Source organism: Homo sapiens, chromosome 14, assembly GCF_000001405.40.
Source record: "Homo sapiens chromosome 14, GRCh38.p14 Primary Assembly".
Lineage (NCBI taxonomy): Eukaryota > Metazoa > Chordata > Mammalia > Primates > Hominidae > Homo > Homo sapiens.
Genome location: NC_000014.9, coordinates 95,652,097 through 95,675,400, shown reverse-complemented (window position 1 = coordinate 95,675,400; position 23,304 = coordinate 95,652,097). Strand labels below are relative to the sequence as shown.

Here is a 23,304-nt window from a genome sequence, read left to right as displayed (position 1 = left end):
CTTCTTATGATGAAGAAATTGGGTCTTTGCAAATAGTAAGTGTCTAACCAAAGACTGGGGTGAGGGGAGAGAGGCCCGCATGTGTTACAAGCTCCTCATGGAAACTAGGCAGTATTCCTATCTTTGTTTTAGAGATGAAGAATCAAGGCTCTGAAAGCAACCATCAGGATGGGCACGGTGGCTCACACCTGTAATCCCAGCACTTTGGGAGGCTGAGGTGGGTGGATCGCTTGAGCCCAGGAGTTTGAGATTGGCCTAGGCAACTTGGCGAAATCCCATCTTTACAAAAGATAAAAAATTAGCTTGATGCCATGGCAGGCGCCCCATGGTCCCAGCTACTCAGGAGGCTGAAGTGGGATGATCTCTTGAGTTCGGGAGGTTGAGGCTGCAGTGAGCCATGATCATGCCACTGCACTCCAGCCTAGGAGACAGAATGAGACCTTGTCTCAAAAAAAAAAAAAAAAAAAAGTGACGGTCACTTAGCCAAGATCACAGAGATAGTTAGTGGAGGAGCTGGAATCTGAACTTCAGCATGTTTGATTCCAAAGTTCAAACTCTCTTCTACTACACCACAGGTACCTGGTGGACGCTGCAAACCCTGTTCACTGATTGATTGACAGAAGTCAGGCTGGTACTCGTGAGCTGGGGACATATGCCCCAGTAACTCAGCAAGCCTCTCAAGCTACATTGCCAAATACTAATCACTCATCTAATCCACACAGGGCATCTGGGGCCCAGCTCCAAGCTACTCCATAACAACAGAGGGCACCATCTTATTTATACTCGGGCCCTGCAGGATCCAACTTGTCTAGGAGATATTCTGGGGATGAAATGGAGGGGACCTCACTGCACAACTCTAATAAATAGAATGCCTGATTTGTAAGGCCATGGTTGCTTGAATATCTGAGGTCCCAGGGATGCCAGCCAACATGCCTGGCTTTCTGGGGTTGGGAGAGGAAGTAACCCACCTCTCCCTCCTCTCTGTAAATACAAATATTATGAGGACCCTCCCATCCTTAGAAACAAGCCTGCTCACCACCATTTTTTCATGATGGTCAATATAGTATGTGGGTTGAAAACACAGATTCTGGAGCCAGATTGCCTGCTTTCAAATCTCAGCTCCAGTATTTACTAGCCACGTGAATTCCAGCAAGTAACTCACCTGTCAAAAGGTATAATGAAAAGACTACAAACTTTGTATAGTTGTAAGGATTAAATGAGCTGAAGTGTGCTGAGTTCTTAGAACATGCCTGGCACACAGTAAGTGCCTTAGGTCTTGTTATTATTGAGTATTGTGCTAGCTCTCCAGCCTTCCCTTCAAAGCTAGACTTCTCAGAGAAGTCTAGAGGCACTAACCCTCAAGCCTGATACCTGGTACAGACCATCTCATAATCTTGTTTCTGCCAACCTGCCTGCAGCCTCCACTGAAACTGCTCTCTTAAAGGGCCCCAGGAGCCTCCTTCCTGAAGGTGGTGGACGATGAGTTCCTTTAGTAGAAGCCATCCCAGTAACTGCCGCCTGCCACACTGCGGCCCTTCCCACCTTCTCAACCCTCTAGTTTTCCTTTGGTTTCCATGCCTCGACACTGGCAATTCTCACCTTTTGACATACCAAAGTTTAAAATGTTAGGTGGAATTAAAATTAACCATCATCCACCTCCTAAAAGCTTTCCCCCTAAACTTCTTTTCCTTTTTTAGACAGGGTCTCACTCTGTCAACCAGGCTGGAGTACAATGGTGCCATCATAGCTCAATGCAGCCTCAACCTCCTGGGCTCAAGCGATCTTCCCACCTCTGCCTCCCAAGTGGCTGTGACTACAGGTGCTTGCCACTGCACAGGGCCCCCGCCAGACTTCTGATAACAGCATGTATTTTGTCCCCACCATTCACCTTTCTCATCAGAGAGATCTGGTAAATGAGGCTTCACTGAACACACAGAGCCCAAGATGTGATCGTTTAACAGCCATCCATCTTTATCCACCAGACTAGATTCCCCAGTGTCCAGAGAAAAGGTTGTTCGCATTTTCATTATGCTATAGGGACCTGCTATAGGAGGCGGGCAGGCATAGGGGCAAGGCAGAGGCAATGAACAGACACTGGCTGGTCTCACTGGCTTATATAGTATGTTAGCTGGACTTTCTGGGCAAAAATCAAAGGTCTCAACTCAGATCTTACACATACATGCAACATACAGCCAAGTCCATAGTCCTGTGACTTGCCAGGTTCATCATCCATCACCCCTTCCCACTGTCTGGAATCATTCATCCCCCGGAAACCTCAGCCCTGAACCAGCCCTGAGTCCAATTCCACCCTGATTTAGAGAAGGGGAGTGGATTAAAGACCTAGCTGACAATTCAGCAACTCCAGCCTGTCTGCTGGCCATACTAGTGTTCGAGGTCCCCACTTTGAAACTAGGGTTCAAGTCTCCACACCCCAGTCCCTCCATCAAAGATCTGCCTTAATACCAACAGTTCAGGGAGCATTTTCTGCCCCCAACCCCCAACATACACACACCCCTACACACAATGCACGCATACACATACACATACTCACGCATCCTTTGCAAACACCAGAGGCCTGCATCTGATTCAGGGCTGTGTCTCAGGCCTCAAGTCCTGATAACAGTCTCTCTGATGCTGAATGGATAGACATGGACCATGTCATCTTGGGGTTTACAGTAGGCCTGGCACATACCAGGTGCCTGATAAATGTCAGAAGAGCCAAATTCTTGCTGCCTTGCACCTGCTGCATGAAAAGTCATAAGGAACGGCATAAAGAGTACGTCCTTGGGGATGAGACAGCCAAGCTTGGATTTGGGTTCTGGCACTTCGTTGGCTTTGGGATGGTGAACACATTCCTCAACCCCTTTGCACCTCAGTTTCCTCAAGGTTGCGAGGATTAGCAATGACATATGGAAGTGTGTGCTGTAAAAATGCCTGCCTGGGTTTGATCTTGAGGAATGGTGCTATGGAAACAGAATATTATAACTCCCCTCCCCTTTGAGAGGGGAAATAAATCTGAAATATAAATTTTTCTTCAGGAAAAGAATTACTTGTAATGAAAATAAACTATGAAGAAATTACCGTACCTTTGTTTATCCAGTGCAAAAATGCTGCCTCTGCTCTGAAATATTTGTAAGGCCTTTTGGGTTATAAAGTGTGTTAGCTGGACTCTCTGGGCAAAAAATCAAAGGTCTCAACTCTGAGCTTTCTTCTGAGTTTTCACCCTCCCTAAGCTTCCTGATGCTCAAGGTCCAGAAATGCAAGAGATTGCTCAGCTGTGTACTCCATCGTTGCCTCTTTATAAAATATAAATCAGGCTGGGAGTGGTGGCTCACACCTGTAGTCTCAGCACCGTGGGAGGCCAAGGCAGGAGGATCGCTTGAGCTCAGGAGTTTGAGACCAGCCTGTGCAATATAGTGGGATCCCATCTCTACAAAAAAGTAAAACTAAAATATGAATCAGAACCCTATATTCTGTGCCAACTCCTAGCTTTGTGAAGCACATTTTATATTACTGCATGAAGCCACAAAACCTGGCAAGTGTAGGAGACTGCTGAGTGTTACACATTTACTCACTCGAGATATACATGTATAGAATTTGGTTTTGTTTGGGATTTTTAAAAAAAGTATTCTCTCCCTCTGTCCTCCTCCTCCTCTGGTTGTTCCCCAGCACTGTGAATAGCTCCAGGAGCCTTTAGTGTTTGAGGGGGCAGCTTCCTGTGCTGCTTCTCCCTGTTGGAGGGATGTGTAACAAGTTTCTATTGATAAAAGTGCTTTGGACAATTTCAGAAACTAAAATTCATCTCAAAACAAAATAGTAGCGATTGTTACTGCTGTAATTATTGTCAAGTCCTCGTGTATCAGCTTTCCCCCAGACAGTGGTAGTCACCCACTTGCTAAGATACCAAATTTACCTCTTTTTGGGGTCTCCCTCCTTCTGCCTTTTGTCACCTTTCATTTCTTCAATAAATATTTATCGGGCTCCCACTTTGTGCTGGCACAGTCCTGGATGCAGCAGATCCAGAGGCGAATGAGACAGGCACGTGCCTCTCTGCTTCATCCACGTCCTTTCTAGCAGGGTGGCAGATGATAAACAAAACCAACTGATGTTACTCTAGATGGCAATAAAAGTGTTATGGCACTGTAATGGGCTGGAGTGATGGAGGAGGGTACCTATGTCAGACACAGGGCCAAGGAAGACCCCTCGGAAGAGGGTATTTGGGCAGAGAGAGCCAGCTGCATGATCTGGCAGAGGGGGCACAGATTCCCAGGAGACAGAAAGACAGCGTGAAGGTCCAAGAGCAGAACAAGCCTGGAGTGTCTGAGAAACAGAAAGGCCGGTACGAGGAGGGGAAGGGGATATTAGATGAGGTTAGGAGGTAAGGACAGGCAGCAAGTCACACAGGGCTGTAGGCCAAGGTTTCATTCCAAGGGCTGTGAGAAACCGAGAGCGGATTAAAAAGATCCAGCTTGTGGCTCCGCAGAGAAGGCACTGCAGGATTTGCGAGCAGAAGCCAAGACCACTCGGGAGGCTGTTGTGAAAGTCCCAGTAAGAGATGAGGCGGCATGGACTGGAATGGTGGAGAGAGAGGTGAGAAGGCGCTGGAGGAAGGATCTATTTCAGAGCTGATAGGACTCGACAGTGGGTTGAGGTAGGTGTGAAGGAAAGAGAGGAAAGAAAGCAGGACCTCTGCCTCCCCAGTACATGCTTCACCAGCCTTCCTGACCAGCCAAGACCCTGGCCCAGCTCCCACCTCCACCCAAGCACCATCCTGATTTCCCTCCTCACAGGCTACATGTTCCAGAGCCCCCCTCCTCTCTCACCTGCACTCTCACCTCCCCAGCTTCTGTTGTAACTCCAAGAAGGAGAAGGAAGGAAAAAAGGACGTGACTCGAATCTGCAATGGCAGCTGCTCTTGGCCCAGTGTGAATGTGTCTGGGATGTAAATCTGTTGTCTCTCTGGATAAAACAGGAAACAATTACTCATGCAGATGAAAAACTTTTATTCCCCTCCTTGACAGCTAACATCTCAAGGAGTCTTTACTATGTCAGTCCTCAGTTGAGATAGAAGCAAATATTTTCTGTCTGTAGTCTCTGGGATAATGCAAGGAAGCTTCTGGTTTAATAATGAGCTTCTGATTTTTGGCAGGACCACGGAGATACAAGGCGGGGGAAGGAGAAAGGCAAAGAACAGCGAGAGAGGTTCTAGGGAAGCGCACCTGATTGCAGGTGAAAATTATTTCAAAGTCAGGGGAAGTCGGATATGGTACTGGTCTAGTTACTGAGATGATACAGGGGCTCCTGGGAGAGATGAGCCCTTAGACAGCCCCTGGGCAGGGGACAGGGACCACAACCGGAAATTACAGCTCTGGGTTCCAAGCTGGGGCTTATTTCATTTAATCATTCACTCATTTAACAAATCTTCATTGAGCATCCACAATGTGCCAAGCCCGTGTAGATTTTACTTTAGGTACTGGCAGGAGTGGGAGGGGATTAACGAGTAAACAGAAAAATTATGATGCAGAGTAAGCGTGAGAAGAAACCAGCACAGATTTGGATGCTGCTAATAAGAGCCCAAAGAAATTGCATCTAAGCAGAGGCCTTAAGATGAGGTGGGCAAAGGCAGAAGACATGGAATTCCAGGCAGAGGGAACAGCATACGCAAAGGCAGAAAGGCAAGAGGTGCTCAGCAGGCCCAGGGAGTTGCTAAGAGCTCAGTATAGCTGCAAAGTAGATTGTAAAGTGTGGAAGGCAGCTTCTAAAATAGCTCTCAAGTTCTTCACCTGCAGTTTATCCTTTGCATGGTCCCCTCTCCTTGAATGTAGGTATGACTTGTGCCTTGCTTCTAACCTGTAGAAAACAGGACAAAGGTGACCGGGCGTGGTGGCTCACGCCTGTAATCCCAGCACTTTGGGAGGCCGAGGTAGGCGGATCACGAGGTCAGGAGATGGAGTCCATCCTGGCTAACACGGTGAAACCCTGTCTCTACTAAAAATACAAAAATTAGCTGGGTGTGGTGTTTATTTATTTATTTATTTATTTTTCAACTGAAAAAGCTTAGTAGCCCAGCCCTGTGGTTATCCACTAACTCCAAAGTTATCAACTAGTGCTCAGCTAGTTACCTGCTTATAAACACCAGAATTCTAGCTCAGCTTCAGCAAAGATTAGTCAATAGCTGGCAAAAAGAAACACAGACAGATGGACAAGAGCCAGAGAACACCAGAGACAAGAGCGAGGCTGATTAGGAGGCCAGAGCTGCGAAGCCAGACAGCCAGCAGCCTCTTTCCAGCCCTGTTCCTCCACCACGTCGTCACTCAGGTTTCTCTTTCCTTTGCTGCTTTCCTGGCTCACTTGAATCAATTTACAGGTGACTCCATACACCTGTCTGCCTCTGCACTTCCAACCCCAGTGGGGTCTTCATCCCTATCCAGAGGAGGCTGGGGAGTGAGGATTGGCTTATCCAACTCTGGCTGAGGGCAGCTTCTGGAACAAAGAGGCTGCTTAGAACACGCCCATGGAAAGAAGTCGAATTGAATCCATCAGAATTCCCCACTTGTTGATGCTGGAGTGAAGTGGAGACATTCCATTCCATGAGGCCCATTTTGTAGATGGGGAACTAAGGCTAGAAAACATGTCCCTTGAGCCTTGCTTTTAATGATGACAAAGAGACAGCGGTGTGTAGTACAAAAGGCCTTGAACCAGAGATGCAGAGATCTGGGCTTTACTTGTACCTCTGTCAGGGACGCCCTGGGTGACTGCAGACAAGCCACTTATTCTCTAAGTTTAGGAGAAAATCAGAAATTGCTGATTCATCACTCACTCAGCAAACATTTCTGGAGCCTCTTTGACGTGCCAGGCCTGGGGATAACTATTGAAATATGTGGGCTCCAAACTGTAGCCAGATCACATCACGGAAGTTGGGTTTGGCCCTGCGGCCACCTGTCCGCGTGGCTTTCGGTCACGTTTTCTCACTTGCTGTGTCTTCTTCACATATGTGTAAATGAGAGAAAAGAAGGGCCTGTTTTTCATGCTGCTGTGCAGTTTGAATAGTAACGTAGGATGTGCACAGAGCAGCCCTGGCCTGCAGAGGCTCTCAAGCTGTAGACAGCATTGGTCAATGGACTGCTGCAAAGAACCAGCAACAGGCAGGACATGCAGTAGATCAGGGTCTGGAAACACTTCGTCCGAGCCACACACCTCTGGAAACTTAGCAGGAAGGCTTAATTTGAAACATTTGTGATCATACTTCAGGATGTCACTTGTAATTCCCGTGATCTGCAAAAAGGTGAACGTTCACACTCACATTTAATAGCTTCATTCTAACATCTCGGGTACCCCATAAATACATCACTCTGCACCCACAAAAATTAAAAATAAAAAAATTTTAAGTTGTTTTATGATATAAAAATAGCTTGAATCTAACCAAACTATAGACAAAATCATGAGTTTGATATTCTGGTAACTTTTTGGAAATACATAAATGCATATTAATCATTGCAATTCTCTATCTTTGCAGCAGTTATAGCCTATCGGGGAAAAATTCAGAAAAATAGAAAAGCATTATAGATGGGATGGAATCATTAACAAGAGGTAGATTATGAAAATTTCCAAATGAGGGGCATGAGTAGTAGGGGTGACCTGGGCTTCCAAAGGTGCCTCTGGCCACAGAGTGAGGCAGGAGATTCCAGGTGAGCCCAGACAGGAGCAAGGAGGGGGTTGGGCTTGTGACCAGAGCTCGAGTCTGGGAAGGGCCTCCACTGGCCACCCTGAGCACAATGAAGGTGTGGTACAATACCCAGCAGGGGCCTCACCACGTGCAGACATGGGCCCTCACCCCCTCCTGAGCTTAGAGCCCCCAGGGAGGCAGGCAGGAAGTGGTGTTTGCAGACAGCTTTCAGCAGAGTGCCCAGCAGGTGCCCTTTGTGCAGATGGTACAGTTCCCAGGAGCTCTCTCTCAGTGCCCTGCCCTCCAGCCCCACCCCTGGTTCCAGGGAGGGCCACACTAGGGCAGGATCCAGCAGGACAGCAAGAAGCCAGCTCCCTGCCTGCCTGACTACAAGGTGCCTTTTGGCTCTCAGACAGTGCAGTAGTGGAGCAGTGGAGCTGCAGCCAGCCAGAACCCGGTTCAAATTTCAACTCTGCCTCTTACTAGCCGGCTGACCTGGGCACTTTCTTCCTTTTCTGGCCTCTGTCTCCTTTTCTGTAAAACTGAACATGAATATCTGTCTTGTTGGACATTGCATCCACCCGATGTTTACTGGGCATCAGTTAGGAGTTAGGCATTGTTCCTGCTGTGAGATCCCACTGATGCCTGGGGTGACGGATCATCATACTCAACAGAGCTTTCATTTATCAAGTGCTTCTTCTATACCAGACCCGGGATGAAATGCTTTACAGCTAATATCTCGTTTAATCGTCACCAAAAGCCAAGCAGAGGTCGAATCATCCCATTTAACAGTTCAGAAAAAGAAGTCTCATGAGGTGAAACAAGCTGCCCAAAGAGTTTCAGCTTAGCACAGCACAGCTGGGATGGAACCAAGGCCTGTGGGACACCAGCCTGCTTCCCAGCACCTCCCAAGGGGTCCACACCTGGGACATTCTGGGGAAATGCCTGGGATTAGCCAAGGTCCTTGATCCCCTTCCCACACTGCATTGCACACAGGACGGGGCACATTGAGTGTCCATAACCAGTCAGGAGTGACTGGTGGAGGCTTGAACAGCGTGACCAAGCATTCCACCTCACATCAGGGGTCCTGCCCCTAAATCTCAGCGGGACCGCAGCCAAGTGGCTCCCTGACTGGGCCTGGGCAATGAAGAGATGACAGTTGATAAAGATCTTTGGAGAGTTCTCAGAGCACTGATCAAACATAGAGTCACCATTTGGATCAGAGGGAGCTCGTGTTGCTGGCCTTGGATGCTGGCCTGCCACTCTCTAGCTTTGTGACCTTGGGTAAGTGACTTAACCTCTCTGAGCCTCAATCCAACTCAGTTTTCCTGTCTGTATTCCAGGGATAGTAGTAATGCCTTCCTGACAGAGCTCAGAGGTTAAAGGAGATGATGGAGGCAAAGTGCCAGAGCATGGTGCCAGGCCCCAAAGGGTGCAATGATGTGATGGGATCATAAGAAGAGCGGGTATGGTGGCAGCCCCATTTCCCTGCATCCTCCTGGCTCCAAGCATGGGAGGCAACACCCAGTAAACCTGTGGAATTGAGTTGAATCTACCAACCCCAGATAAGAACCCATGTGCAGTGTCATGAAACCACTTGCAGTTATAGGGTAAAGACCTCAGAGGAAAAAAATATGCTTTGTTGGCCGGGCGCAGTGGCTCACGCCTGTAATCCCAGCACTTTGGGAGGCCGAGGTGGGCAGATCACGAGGTAGGAGATCGAGACCATCCTGGCTAACACGATGAAACCCCGTCTCCACTAAAAATGAAAAAAAAAAAAAAAATTAGCCGGGTGTAGTGGCAGGCGCCTGTAGCCCCAGCTACTCGGGAGCCTGAGGCAGGAGAATGGCGTGAACCGGGGAGGCGGAGCTTGCAGTGAGCTGAGATCACGCCACTGCACTCCAGCCTGGGGGACACAGTGAGACTCCGTCTCAAAAAAAAAAAAAAGCTTTGTCCACAGTCCAGGGTGGGAGGCCAGTAGGGGGCTTTACTGAGCAGGGCAGAATCTGTTTTCTTTCCCTCCATATTAGAGTCAAGACCATGTAGGGAGCTCCAAATGCCACGCCTTTCCCCAGCTGGTGGCTGCTGTTATGCTGAACCCCTATCTACTCCAATGGGGATGGCAGCAGGTTTGAGAGGCTGAAGAAAGGACCCAGGGCTGCTGAAGGAGACATGGAGTTTTACTGGGGCTTACATGCAGGGGAGAGCATCTAGCAGTGGTGGGCTGGGCAGGAGAGCCACACAACTTACAAAAAGCTTGCAGCATATATAGCATCTTCACTTAGCACCCTCCCCCAACAGTGTCCACCTGGCAACATTTACCTAACCCAAAACAAAGGGCCTTGATCCCCTGTACTGTCCGTGTTGCACAGGACGGGACAGGAGCTCAGATGTTCCTCATAGATAAGGAATAGGAATGAATCTCCAGGTTGGCCACTCCCAGATTCCTTAGCTCAGAACTCCAAACCACATTCACCTGCACCTGCCATAAGGGTCATTCTCAGGGGATGCTTAAGTTATTGCTATCAGGTGCGTTCACTGTAAGCGGCTTTTGGGGAAATCACCTGCTGGGTCTGGAGGAGCAGGGCTATCATAGGAGAAGGTCCCCCAGGTTCAGAAGAGCCTGGTAATCTCAAGCATATCACCTCCAGGCCTCACCTTCCCCATGCATCCATCCAGGGGCCTCTTCCTCTGTGTCACTCTGGGCTCCATCCTCTTGGTGCATTTGGAGTCAGACGAGACCTGGGTTCAAATCCTTGGCTGGAGGGATGCAAGATGCACGTGGAAGGAGAACCAATTCATCCTGTCCAGGCTCTTCTAGAGCAGCTGGTCTCCTGCCGACCTGTCTAGCTGACCCTAGCACCAGAGCAAGCTCAGCCAAGGTGGGCCAAGCCAGGCCCCGGTTGGCAGAAACACTCAACTGACTTGACACATGTGGGCAACAATAAGTGCTTGCTACATTTCGGTGTGGCTTGTCATGGAGCAATAGCTCACTGGTGTAACCAAGAGGCAGCAGAGCTGTGCGTGCGGTAAACAAACAGCAGTCCAGCTGCCAAGGAACATTTCATATACGAAGGCAGGAAGCCGTGACAGCACCTGCAGTTTACCAGCAGGGTAGTTATGAGGCCTGGTGCTGTGGGGGTCCTTCTACCACGAGAGAAGCCAGCCTGGGGACAGAGGACAGAGGAGACCCTATTCCCCACTTGTCCCCTCGTGTGCTCCCACATGGCACAGATATTTGATGCTCAGAGCTGTGCCAGGCATCTTACAAAGGTGAAGGAAAGGAAAACTGTATAAATGGGGATGCCAGCTCAGTGCCCTGATCTGATGAACCAGTGCTGGAAGCTTCTGTTCAGGGATAAAAATAAGCCCTTCTTATTTCAGCTACATTGGCAGGCTTTCTGTTGCCTGCTGCTGAAACTCCTATCTGATGCACAGTGGCTGCCTGGTCCCCACAACTCCCTGATTTCTGCAAGACCAGGCCAGACACCAAGAACCTCCCATTCTGTCTCCATGCCAGAGGTCTGTGCCTAGTTGGTGCACTTCTGAATGCAATTAAAAAGCTTGTTTGAGGCCAGGTGCGGTGGCTCGTGCCTGTAATCCCAGCACTTTGGGAGGCCGAAGCAGGTGGATCACTTGGTCAGGAGTTCAAGACCAGCCTGGCCAACATGGTGAAACCTCGTCTCTACTAAAAATACAAAAATTAGCCTGGCATGGTGGTGGGCACCTGTAATCCCAGCTACTTGGGAGGCTGAGGCAGAAGAATCACTTGAACCCGGGAGGTGAAGGCTGCAGTGAGCCGAGATCGCGCCACTGCATTCCAGCCTGAGTGACAGAGCAAGACTCAGTCTCAAAAAAAAAAAAAAAAATGTGTTTGGTGCTCAGCCCAAATGTGGGACAGTCTGTTTCTATTTTATTTTCTCTCAATTGATTCCTTGTGAAAAGTTCTTAACCTGCTCTTTTAAAATACTCTGTGTCACCTCTCCCAAACAGCACAATCCAACAAGGTGCTGACACTGTTCCAAATTGCTGTCCACTTAAGATTAAAGTCCAAAAAGAAAGGGAGAAAATAAATCACAAGACATGAAACTGGCCTCACCACTGCTGTCCCCTCTTTGGCTCCACACACACTCTCAGACTTTCTGTTTCTGATTGCAGGTGTGTAGCTGGAAGGTGAACTGAGATAGCATGAAAACAGGTGGCATGGGCTGCAGAAAGAGCACTGGGGCAGGAAACCTGGATCCTGCGCTGCTCGGATGCACTTGGCTGTGTGACCTTGGACTTGGCCATCCACTCTCTGGGCTTCGGTTTTCTCCTGTGTTCAGGGAATTCTCACTAAGTCCTCTTCCCATTCTGCTCCTCTGTGAGTTGAGTGAGGATCTTTCTCTTTAATTTCAGCCTCCATCTTGTAAACCAAGAAGTATCTGAGACAGGTCTCAATCGATTTAGAGATTTGTTGTGCCAAGGTTAAGGACATGTCTGGAAGTAAAAAGACACGAAATCACAGAAACAGTCGCTAGTCTGTGCCTTTCTCCAAAGATGATTTTGAGGGCTTTGATATTTAAAGTGGAAAAGTAGGCTGGAGAGGAGAAAGGCAGTGTATGGTCACATGACTGAATCCACATGTTGCAAAGGAAACGGAGTAGGTAGGGGATAGTCAATTACGTATTTGTCTCATGCTCAATAAATCAGCAGTTTACGTAAGATAAGGTGAACATACAGTAGCTACCTGTGGAGCTATTTAACCTTTTATCTGTAGCTATCTACTTAGGAGCAAAAGGAAAGTCAGCTTCTTGCATGACTCAGCTTTTGGCTTTTTTTTTTTTTTTTTTTTTTTGCCTTTTTGGCATAGTGAACTGGGTTCTGAAGTTTTAGTTTTCCTTTCAGAACCTGCAGCTGCAGCTGTGTCCCATGAGTGTGGTAAGGCTTAGGGTGTTTTTGGAGATGAGCAGACCCAAGTTTTAATTCCAACTATGATGCCCAAATGCTAAGTTAATGTTGGACAAGTATTTAACCAATCTGATCTTCAGTTTGTCATCTGTGAATGCGGAACAATAATAATAATAATACCTTCTTTTGATAATTAGAGATAATGCATATGAGATATAAGCACAGAGCAGATGTTCCATGGCTGGTAAATATTCTCCCTCTTCCTCTTTGTGTGGTTGTCTGCTTGCTGTGTGTCTATGGAAGTCAGATGAGCATTTGCCCAGAGGTTGGTAGATGGAGCCCACAAGCTCATAAGAATAAAATAACTAGAATGGAAACAGAAAATTAGATGTTCCATATGTTGTAACTCATTTTTGGCTGGAAATTATAGAGACCTTGGTTGGGAGTGTCATTAGATACTTGGAAAGGATGGGCGATGATTAGCACAGGTGGCTGGAGATGAACTCCCTGAACCGGCCCTGACATCTTGTTAGAGAGAGAAAAGCTCACATAGGTGTGAGCCTAGAATTTCAGTTAATATGCATTTATTCTGTATCTTGTCATCACAAAGTTGAGTTTCGCAGTCTGCTAAGAAGAGCAAAGAACTTCCCAATAATATTGAAAGGTAATAGTCCTAAGGACCTTGAAAAGCTACATTTGTTAAGGAGTTTACTGTAGAATAGCATGCTTGTTCAGTAAAAGTGAAAAACCACCTTTGTCACAGGTGGTTGATTTCACCGGACAGCGCTGGCGATCATTAACCCACCATGACCTCCCACATTCGCCTTCAGTCACCTCCACCTGTTTTTGCCGGATGCAAAGTATCTGTTTGATGCCAGATAAGTATTTGTTTTGCAAATAAGAATAATGTGGCCGGACGCGGTGGCTTACGCCTGTAATCCCAACGCTTTGGGAGGCCAAGGCAGATCACCTGAGGTCAACAGTTCGAGACCAGCCTGGCCTACATGGCAAAACCCTGTCTCTACTAAAAATACAAAAAAGTTAGCTGGAGATGGTGGTGCACACCTGTAATCCCAGCCACTTGGGAGGCTGAGACAGGAGAATCGCTTGAACCCAGGAGGCAGAAGTTGCAGTGAACCGAAATGGTGCTACTGCACTCCAGCCTGGGTGACAGAGTGAGACCACATCTAAAAAAAAAAAAAAAAAAAAAAAAGTTTAAGTTCTAGATCTACAGATGATCCTGGATCGCCCACATAGGCCCTAAATGTCATCACAAATGTCCTTATAAGAGGGACAGAGGGACATCTGACTGCAGAAAAGGAAAGGCAACGTGAAGACGAAAGCAGAGGGAGATCTGAGGATGCTACACTACTGGCTTGGAAGAGAAGCAAGGGGGACGAAGGGCCAAGGAATGCAGCTCTCCAAGCTAGAAAAGTTCAGGAAGCAGATTCTCCCCTAAAGCCTCAGGAGAGAGCACAGCCCTACCTTGGTTTCAGCCCAGTGAAACTCGTTCTGCACCTTTGACCTCCAGAACTACCAGACAATGTTTGAAGGCACTCAGTTTGTGGGATTTGTTACAGCAGCCCTAGGAAGCTGACATCCCTGTTAAGGCTCAGCGTTGTTCCCAGACAGGGGACTGAGAGCAGGATCCATCCAGCGCTGCTCAGATCTTGCTGTTACCTTCAGGAGGTCCCAGGGAAGAGTTTGGAAAAGGGGAGGCTTTGGGTGTGGAATAGTTAAGTGACTTGTCATACAACCACACCAGAGGACGCTGTGTGGGTGTTAAAAATGACATCCCACAGAGCTTGGATGATGCAGGGAAATGCTTAGGATATAATGCCAAACAAAAAGAACAAGGAGGGAGTATACGTAGTAGAATTGGGCTGTGCTAAAAAGGGGGGCAAGTCCGGTCTGAGAGCAAACAAAACAAAATATTGCAAAATGTACCCAAGGGCTATCTCTGGCTGGGGGGACTCTGGCGACGGCTGTTTACATTGTACTCTTCTGTGTAGGGTCTCCTTTAGGAGGGCTCAGGGCTGCAGAGCAGCAGCCGCTAAGTGAGCAAGTTATAGCCAGAAGATTTTCAAATGTCAGCAGATTGGGAGCTCTGAGATAACATCGGAGACCTCCCAGCTGCTGCTGGAACCCTCAGGGTTGGACCATGGGAGGGGAGGAGGGGGAAGGAGAGAGTGTTGGAAGAACTAAGGAGGCAAGTTACAGACAATAATCTGCCAGCAGACAGGTTTTCTAACCCACCTTGCCTGTGGCTGCGGCACTGTTCTCTTTTTGCTGAGGGAAGTGGGGGATACGAGATGTTCGCCTTTCCCATTATCTAGGTCTCTGAATTATTGGGAAACACACATCTAGGCAAACAGCAGGCTCATTTTAGCGAGCACTATTTCACACTGCTGCCAGCTGGGGCTGGATGGGGCTGGCAGGCATGGCAGCCTCCCTGTCTCCAGACCTGGGCTGAGACTATGCCACTGATCCCAGGCTGGAAGGTGACTTCTATCTCCAAAAGAGCTGATCCTAGTTATCTTGTTCTCCACGTGGTTTGGACATGAAGAAGCCCAGGACTGGAGGAAGAGAGAGCAGTGCCGGCAGATCACTGGGTGAAGCTGTGTCTATCCGGTGCCACCGTGACTAATAAATTGGCAGGGTCCTGTGTCCAGAGGAACCCTGGGCTGCCTAGTGGAGATAGCTGTCAGGACGGACCCTTCTAAACCAGGAGCATGGGTCTTGGCTGCTGGGTGAGGAGTGCATCTGCCAGCTCCAGACAGCAGGATCAGAGTGAGGAAGGGTCTTCTCCAAGCTCTGTGCTAATGGGAATCAGGCTGAGAAGGGACTTCCAACCTAGCAGAGCTCAGCTGGAGGCCTGGAGCAGCAGAACTGTCTTTTGGCACTAAAAATTAATAACGTGGAAAGCTGAGAAAGAACGAGGCTGTGAGCCTGCCCACCAGGCAGCCTGGGCAGAAGTCAAAGAATTCTATTTTTATCAAGAAGTGCCACGTTCTATTACACTACTCTAAAAGAGATGCTCATTTGTAACATGGCAAGGAAGTCTCGGTCAGGGGTAGCTCTGAAAGGAAAGGTCTGAGTTGTAGGGTGTGTGTGTGCATATGTGTATGTGCATATGTGTGTGTACATCTGTGTGCATGTGTATGCATACACATATATAAAATATAAATATATATAAAAATATATTTAAATATTTAAATATATTTAAATATATATAAATATGTAAATGTATATATATATAAATATATATGCATGCATGTGTACATGTGTGAGCACCTACAGGGGCTGTTCAGAGAAGCCAGAAAATGTGACTGCAGAGATTTTTAACACCTGCAGCCTGGCTGGACTGGAGGCACGTGCCTTCTGGTCGCTTCCCCTAGGCCAGATAAACAACCCAAGCATCACACCCAGGACCCTGCATATTCACTGCAAACTCCAGAGTCACTGGCCTCCCGTCCAAGTCTGCCCCTCCTGCTCTGGGTCCCACTTAGCCCTGCACAAACTGAGGCACATCTGAGATGCTGGTTTCCCCTCGCCCTGCATTCAAAGTGGGGCCAAATCCTCTCAACCCATTCCTCACCTCCCTCTTTTGACCCACCATCAAAATAGATAGAACACACCACCATCTACCACACTCTTCTCATTTGTTCCCTTTCCTCACCATGCACGGGCTACCTGAACCCCACACCTGAGCCCCATACCTAAGCATCCTCCTTCCTTCCTCCTGGTCTTGTACTTCCAAATCTCAGCAGCCACCATGGCTTTCCAGCTCTGCCCACTGATGCCCCCAAACAGGGCAGACTCTGGACAAATGTGGTAGAATAACTTCCTGCCTCTATCTCCTCCCTACCTCCTCAACTCTATGAAAATGATAGTAAGGGAATGAACTAAATAAAAGCTGTTGACCCACAGGGATGGAGAGAACAGGAGCTCAGGCAATGGCAGACAGGATCAAAGCACCCAACACTTGGGAGCAGCCTCAGAAGAGTTGAGGACAGTGTATGGTAAAGGTGAAGGGGGTGTGGGAAAGTGGAGGGGCAGGGTGGGCATCAAGAACAGAGACTCTCCAATAAATCCTGGGTTTGCAATCATCAGGCACCAAGAAGAACTGGCACTGAAAGCATGAGGTTGACTGAAAGTCAGTATACTGGCTGGGCACCGTGGCTCACGCCTGCAATCCCAACACTTTGGGAGGCTGAGGCAGGAGGATCACATGAGCCCAGGAGTTCAAGACCAACCTGGTCAACATAGGAGACCCCATCTCTACAAAAAATAAATTAGCTGGGCATGGTGGTGTATGCCTGTGGTCCCAGCCACTTAGGAGGCTGAGGCAGGTAGATTGCTTGAGCCTAGGAGTTCGAGGCTGCACTGAGCTGTTATCATGACTCTACGCTCCAACTTGGGCAACAGAATGAGACCCTGCCTCTACAAAAGAAAGTCAGTATACAGTTACCAGCTAGCACCCCAATCCATTTCCCTCACCTGCTCAAGCAGACCACACCCCTCCCCCCACCTCTCTCAGGAGACCCCAAATGATTGTGTGGTGAAACCACACACCACACCTCAACACCTTATGTCCAGTCTTGAGGACACAAAGCACCGGCAAGGAAAGGGTGGGTTCCCAGCTGAAAGTGGGGGCTGTGTTTAAGGGAAACATTACATTGTGAACTGTGGGGGCCTCTGCTCCCTTCCCTCCTGGCAAGTCCACAGCTCTTGCAATCCCTTAGGATGGAAATGGAAAGGTTCATTTCTGGAGAAACTGAAGGTGCCAAAAGGAGACACTCTGCCCGCTGATATCTGGGGATCCCCAACAAGAAGTTGGGCTCATCATCTTTGCTAGTCAGGGTTCTCCAGAAAAACAGAACCAGTAAGATAGATAGATGACAGATGGATGGCTGGACTGGTTGATAGACTGATAGGTAGATAGACAGAAGACATAGACTGATGGATATAGATTTGTTATAAAGAATTGGCTCATGTAATTGTGGAGGCCAAGAAGTCCCATGATCTGCCGTCTTTAAGCTGGAGACTCAGGAGAGCCGATGGTGTAAGTCCCAGTCCACAGAGAAGAGAAGACCAACGTTCCAGCTCAAGTGTTCAGGCCAAGAGAGAAATTCTCCTGCCTTTCTGTTCTATTCAAGCCTTCAAGGGTATGGTGCCCGCCCACATTGAGGAGGGCAGCTTGCTTTATTCAGTCCATCCATTCAAATGCTAATCTCATCAGGAAACACCCTCTTAGGCACACCCAGAAATAATGTTTAACCAAATAACTGGACACCCCAAGACCCTGTCAAATTGACACATAAAATTAATTATCACACCATCCAATTACTCTCCAAAAAAGCACTCTAGGTGACAATCCCACCCACATACAGTTTTAAAAGTTCCTAAGAATCTGCTCTGATCTTAAAAAGAAACAATGGTTCAGGAGAGATTGAGGAAGAAAGTCAGAAACAAACAAATTGGGGAAAGTAAAAAAGAAAAAAGTATCTGCAGAAAATTAAAACAAGGGAGAAAATACAACCTTCAAAAATTAGATATAATATGCTCAGAAAGAAAACAGGAGAGCCCACACATCAAACAACAATGGAACGCTTTTAAAAAAAGGGAACAAAAAAAAGCTCTTAGATATTTTTAAGGCATAAGCAGAATGAAAAATTCTTCAACCAAGAGCTGAGGAAAGTAGAATGAAAAGACAAAAAGATAGAAAATAAGAAGAAAGAGATAAGATAATTAGAGGATCAAGGCAGTCTGGCATCTTACTCCAATGTGTTCCAAAATAAATAAATAAAAGGTGCAGGTGCAACAGCACAACTCCAGAGGACGCCATTCATAGAATATGGGGTGAACAGTGCCCTGGAGTCGGATGCTGCAGAGGCCCTGATCAGAGGGAGAGAAATCAGGCAATCAATGCTACAGATATTTTTGCAAAGCCAAAGGACACGCGTTTCCAAGTTGAAAGGGCCAGTGAATACCCAGCACAGTGGGTAAAAGAGACTCACAGTAGAGCACATCACTGTCAATGACAATCAGAGGCTGAATGCGGTGGCTCATGCCTGTAATCTCAGCACTTCAAGAGGCTGAGGCTTGAGAATCCTCAGTGAGAAGTTGGGCTCACCTTCTGTATTAGTCAGGGTTCTCCAGAAAAACAGAAACAATAAAATAGATAGATGGATGGATAGATGGATGGATGGATGGATGGATGGATGGATGGATGGATGGATAGATTGATAGGTAGAGAGACAGACACAAGACATATACAGATGGATATACATTTATTATAAAGGATTGGCTCATGCAATTGTGGAAGCCAAGAAGTCCTATAATCTAGAAAGATTGCTTGAGGCCAGGAATTTGAGACCAGCCTGGGCAATATAGCGAGATCACATCTCTACAAAAAATTTAAAAATTAGCCAGCCATAGTTGCACATGCCTGTTGCCCCAGATACTCAGGAGGCTGAGATAGGAGGATCACTTAGGCCCAGGAATTCGAGGCTGCAGTGAGCTAGGATTGCACCACTGCACTCCAGCCAGGGCAAAAGAGTGAGACCCTGTCTTTTAGAAAAAAAAATTAAAATATTAAAGAATGTCAGAGAAAAAAAATAGTTCAATGATAGTAATAGCTAACATTAATTCAGTTCATTAAATTCCAGGAACTATTTTAAGTATTTTATGTGTAACTTCTAGTGAGAAAAAACTGGTCTCATTAATAAACATGTTGGAATTTAAAATGCCATCAAATCTCAATGGCCATGTTGAGTGCTAGAAGATGAGGGGGCAATGCCTTCAAAGTTCTGAGGGGAAATATTTCCCACCCTAGAGTTTGTGAACCAAAAAATATCTGAGACAGGTCTCAATCCATTTAGAAGTTTATTTTGCCAAGGTTAAGGACATGCCTGGAAGAAAAGGACACAGAATCACAGAAACAAGTCTATGATCTGTCCCTTTCTCCAAAGATGATAGTGAGGGCTTCAATATTTAAATGGGGGAAACAGACATGGAAAAATTCATCTCTGGAGGGGATAGAGGAAGGGTATGGTAATCCACACATTGCAAGAGGAGAAGAGCAGCTAGGGAATAGTCAGTTACATATCTGTCTCCTGCTCAGTAAATCAGCACTTTACATAAGATAAGGTGAACATGGAGTAGCTACCTGTGGAGATATTTAATCTTTTATCTGTAGCCATCTACTTAGGAGCAAAAGAAAAGGCAGTTTCTTGCATGACTCAGCTTTCAGCTTCTTTTTTTTTTTTCCTTTTGGCATACTGAATTGGGGTCCTGAGTTTTTATTTTCCTTTCACAAGTTCAACATCCAGTCGCATTATTAATCAAAGGTTAGGGTCAAACAAAAACATTGTCAGATAAGGAGGGGCTCAAAAAATGGGTCTCCTGTGCACCCTTTCTTAGGAAGCTACTGGAGAACAGGTTTTAGCAAAAGAAGATAATAAGAAAGAGAAAAATGCATGTTAAAAGATAATTTTCAAAAACAGGTTAAATGATAACTCAATATAGATATAAAAATGAATATGTGCTGTAACAGTCCATTTGCACACTGCTATAAAGAACTACCTGAAACTGGGTAATTTATAAAGGAAAGAGGTTTAATTAACTCACAGTTCCACATCGCTGGGGAGACCTCAGGAAACTTACAATCATGGCAGAAAGCGAAGGAAAAGCGAGCACCTTTTTCACAAAGTGGCCAGAGAGAGAGAGAGAGAGAGAGAGAGAGAGAGAGAGAGAGAGAAGGGGGAACTGCCAAACACTTTTAAACCATCAGATCTCGTGAGAACTCATTCACTATATGGGAACACCATGGGGAAAACCACCCCCCATGATCCAATCATCCCCTACCAGGTCCATCCCTTGACACACAGGGGGATTACGATTCAAGATGAGATTTGGTGGGGACACAGAGCTAAACAATATCACGTGCTGCTCAAGATTATGTTTAACTCCTCAGTGAAGAAACTGAAGAGGTGTGACAGCCAATTCAAAGGAGAATCTGAAGGACAGGCACATTTATTGATCAGAAATATTGAAATGGGCTGGGCACAGTGGCAAATGCCTGTAATCCCAGTAAGTTGGGAGGCCAAGATGGGAGGATCACTTGAGCCCAGGAGTTTGAGACCAACCAGGGAAACACAGGGAGAGCCCATCTCTATAATTTTTTTTTTAATTTGCCAGATATGATGACACGTGCCTGTAGTCTTAGCTGCTTGGGAGGCTGAAGTGGGAGGATCTCTTGAGCCCAGGAGGTTGAGACTACAGTGAGCCGTGATTGCACCACTGCACTCTGGCCTGGCACAGAGGGAGATAACCTAAAAAAAAAGAAAAGAAGGAAGAGAAGAGAAATATTGAAATGAATGTGTAAAATGGAAGCAAACTAGGGGATTTGGGGGGAAGTGAGGAAGGGTTGTCTCTCTTCAAAATATAAGCATTTGCATATCCATAGACAAGAATTATTTTTCATTTCTATCGGTTATCTGTAGCTTTCAGAATGGTAAAATAGGTCCCATAGAATTGGAATCAGATAACATGGAAGAGTATGCCCTAGACAGAGAAATATTCTGTTCCTTGCCTCCCACTGAAGCAGAGTGTTTTCTACAAATGCAATCCAGGTAAAGGAGAATACCTGTTAGGAAGCCTGGGAAGAGCATTCCGGGGTGGGGTTGGGATGGGCTGAGAGATGCCAATCAACTTGTGAATACACAGCTAAACAAACTCAACAAAACATGATTTGCTTTTGTTTTTTTGAGACAGAGTCTCACTCTGTCACCCAGGCTGAAGTGCAGTGGCATGATCTTGACTCACTGCAACCTCCACCTCCTGGGTTCAAGCAATTCTCCTTCCTCATCCTCCCAAGTAGCTGGGACTACAGGTACCTGCCACCACGCCTGGCTAAGTTTTTTATATTTTTTAGTAGAGACACAGTTTCGCCATGTTGGCCAGCCTGGTCTTGAACTCCTGACCTCAACACCATGACTGGCCTAAACAAAATATGTTTTAAAAGTCTTCTCCCAGGCTGGGCATGGTGGCTCCCACCTGTAATCCCAGAACTTTGAGAGGCTAAGGCAGGGGTATTGCTTGAACACAGGAGTTCAATACCAGCCAGGGCATCATACTGTGACCCCCATCTCTATAAAAATAAAATAAAAATCGTATCCCTGTAATCCCACCAATTTGGGAGGCTGTGGTGGTAGGATCACTTGAGGCCAGAAGTTTGAGACCAGCCTGGGCAACACAGTAAGACCTCCATCTATACAAAAAGTTTTAAAATTAACCAGGCATGGTGGCGCATGTGTGTAGTCTCAGCTACTTGGGAGGCTGAGAAGGGAGGATCATGTGAGCCCAGGGAGGTAGAGGCTGCAGTAATCCATGATTGCACCACTGCACTCCAGCCTGGACGATAGAGTGAGATCATTAACAAATAAAAACAGTCAAGCTCTGTAAAATATTTGAAGAGATTTATTCTGAGCCAAATATGAGTGACCATGGCCTGTAACACAGCCCTCAGGAGATCCTGAGAACTATGCCCAAGGTGGTCGGGGTGCAGCTTGGTTTTATACATTTTAGGGAGACATGAGATGTCAATCAAATACATTTAAGAAATACATTGGTTCTGTCCAGAAAGGTGGGACAACTTGAATTGTTGGGTGGAGGTTGGGGGCTCCCAGGTTACAGGTAGATTTAAAATTGACTGGTTGACAATTGGTTAAGTTTATCTAAAGATCTGGGCTCAATAGAAAGAAAATGTCTGTGCTGTGATAGGAGGTTGTGGAGACCAAAGTTTTACCATGCAGATGAAGCCTCCGGGTAGCAGGCTTCAGAGAAAATAGATTGTAAATGCTTCTCATCAGAGAGGTATAATGAGTCCTGTCTGACCTCTACTTTCCATCATGGCCTGAACCAGTCTTTCAGGTTAAAAGTACCCTGGCCCAGGAGGAAGTCCATTCAGATGGTTGCAGGGAGGGCGGGGCTTAGAATTTTATTTTTGGTTTACATCCTGTCTCAAAAGAAAAAAAAAAAGAATAAAAGAGTTTTTGGTTTACACCCTGTCTCAAAAAAAAAAAAATGAAAGAAAAGAAAAATCTCAAGGACATCTAAAAGCTGATAAGACAGAAATTACCAGGCCAAAAATAAAAGGGAAGTAGAATGCAGAAAGGGAAAAAAAACAGAATGGAAGCTGCTTTTTCCCTGAGAGCTTTTTCAGAACCTGAAAATCAGAACTTGTTTGAGCCTCCCGGAGACTGGTGGAGAAAGAAGTCCAGCCAGGCCCTGCCCAACTCTAAAGGAAAACCCAAACTTGTCGATATTTGATGAGACTATAAATCGCTTGCCTCTTTTCACTCTCTGGTGCTCCAGCAGCACAGCCCCACACCAACCTTCATCTGGAGTGTCTCAAGACCTTCTGGAATCTTCTCCCACACATACCTCCTTACACAGGTCCATTCTGTGAAAATAAGCAATTCAAAATCTAAGCTGTTGGAACTTTAAAATATTTCGAGCCTTAAGGGAATTTGATCATGGGACCTGAGTCATGTAAACAGGCAGCTGCAACCTTTGTTTCTCTGATTATAGATTAGCCTTTTTCCTTACTTACATTGTTGTGTAAAATGTCGTATATGACTGAAGCGTTCCAGGGAAGACCCCTTTCCTCTTCACTGTTGATCTTCATTATAGATTAACTCCCTCTTTCCTCTCTGACAGAGACTTCATGACCATCACATTGT

The 23,304-nt window shown here is 46.6% G+C and overlaps 1 protein-coding gene and 1 long non-coding RNA gene across 3 annotated transcripts, besides 3 other annotated features; both read right to left on the bottom strand.

The window, feature by feature from the left end:
• Nucleotides 1-1,948: 1,948 nt before the first annotated feature.
• TCL6 (T cell leukemia/lymphoma 6) lies at nucleotides 1,949-23,304 on the bottom strand. 2 transcript variants are annotated; one of them, NR_028288.2, is made up of 8 exons: nucleotides 23,175-23,304; nucleotides 22,912-23,024; nucleotides 20,775-20,892; nucleotides 12,737-12,921; nucleotides 5,784-5,850; nucleotides 4,824-4,959; nucleotides 3,914-4,070; nucleotides 1,949-3,430 (listed from the first exon to the last, which is right to left on the bottom strand). It is a non-coding gene; the product is annotated as a T cell leukemia/lymphoma 6 (long non-coding RNA). The 2 variants fall into 2 exon arrangements; NR_152604.1 differs by lacking the exons at nucleotides 1,949-3,430; nucleotides 12,737-12,921 and adding exons at nucleotides 3,554-3,724; nucleotides 11,766-12,145.
• Nucleotides 4,987-10,588, bottom strand: LOC124903372 (uncharacterized). The gene is made up of 2 exons (XM_047432042.1): nucleotides 10,325-10,588; nucleotides 4,987-7,275 (listed from the first exon to the last, which is right to left on the bottom strand). The coding sequence occupies exons 1-2, from the start codon at nucleotides 10,376-10,378 to the stop codon at nucleotides 6,904-6,906; spliced, it is 426 nt and encodes a 141-aa protein (XP_047287998.1). The 5' UTR covers nucleotides 10,379-10,588; the 3' UTR covers nucleotides 4,987-6,903.
• Nucleotides 8,041-8,687: an enhancer, noted in NCBI's record as "H3K4me1 hESC enhancer chr14:96133051-96133697 (GRCh37/hg19 assembly coordinates)". NCBI's record gives its function as "activates a minimal SCP1, AML or CMV promoter by ChIP-STARR-seq in naive H9 embryonic stem cells {active_cell/tissue: H9 hESC(naive)}" and the evidence as "EXISTENCE:reporter gene assay evidence [ECO:0000049][PMID:30033119]".
• Nucleotides 9,334-9,981: an enhancer, noted in NCBI's record as "H3K4me1 hESC enhancer chr14:96131757-96132404 (GRCh37/hg19 assembly coordinates)". NCBI's record gives its function as "activates a minimal SCP1, AML or CMV promoter by ChIP-STARR-seq in naive H9 embryonic stem cells {active_cell/tissue: H9 hESC(naive)}" and the evidence as "EXISTENCE:reporter gene assay evidence [ECO:0000049][PMID:30033119]".
• Nucleotides 12,051-12,130: an enhancer, noted in NCBI's record as "active region_8968". NCBI's record gives its function as "activates an Ori minimal core promoter by ATAC-STARR-seq in GM12878 lymphoblastoid cells {active_cell/tissue: GM12878}" and the evidence as "EXISTENCE:reporter gene assay evidence [ECO:0000049][PMID:35858748]".

Bases quoted from the DNA above. Each gene is read 5' to 3' on its own strand.
- LOC124903372 (XM_047432042.1), bottom strand. From the start codon at position 10,378: ATGGAGCCCAGAGTGACACAGAGGAAGAGGCCCCTGGATGGATGCATG. The intron at 7,276-10,324 runs GTGAGGCCTGGA...ACCTTTTTGCAG, and splicing joins TGGATGGATGCATGGGGAAG to ATCACGGGAATTACAAGTGA.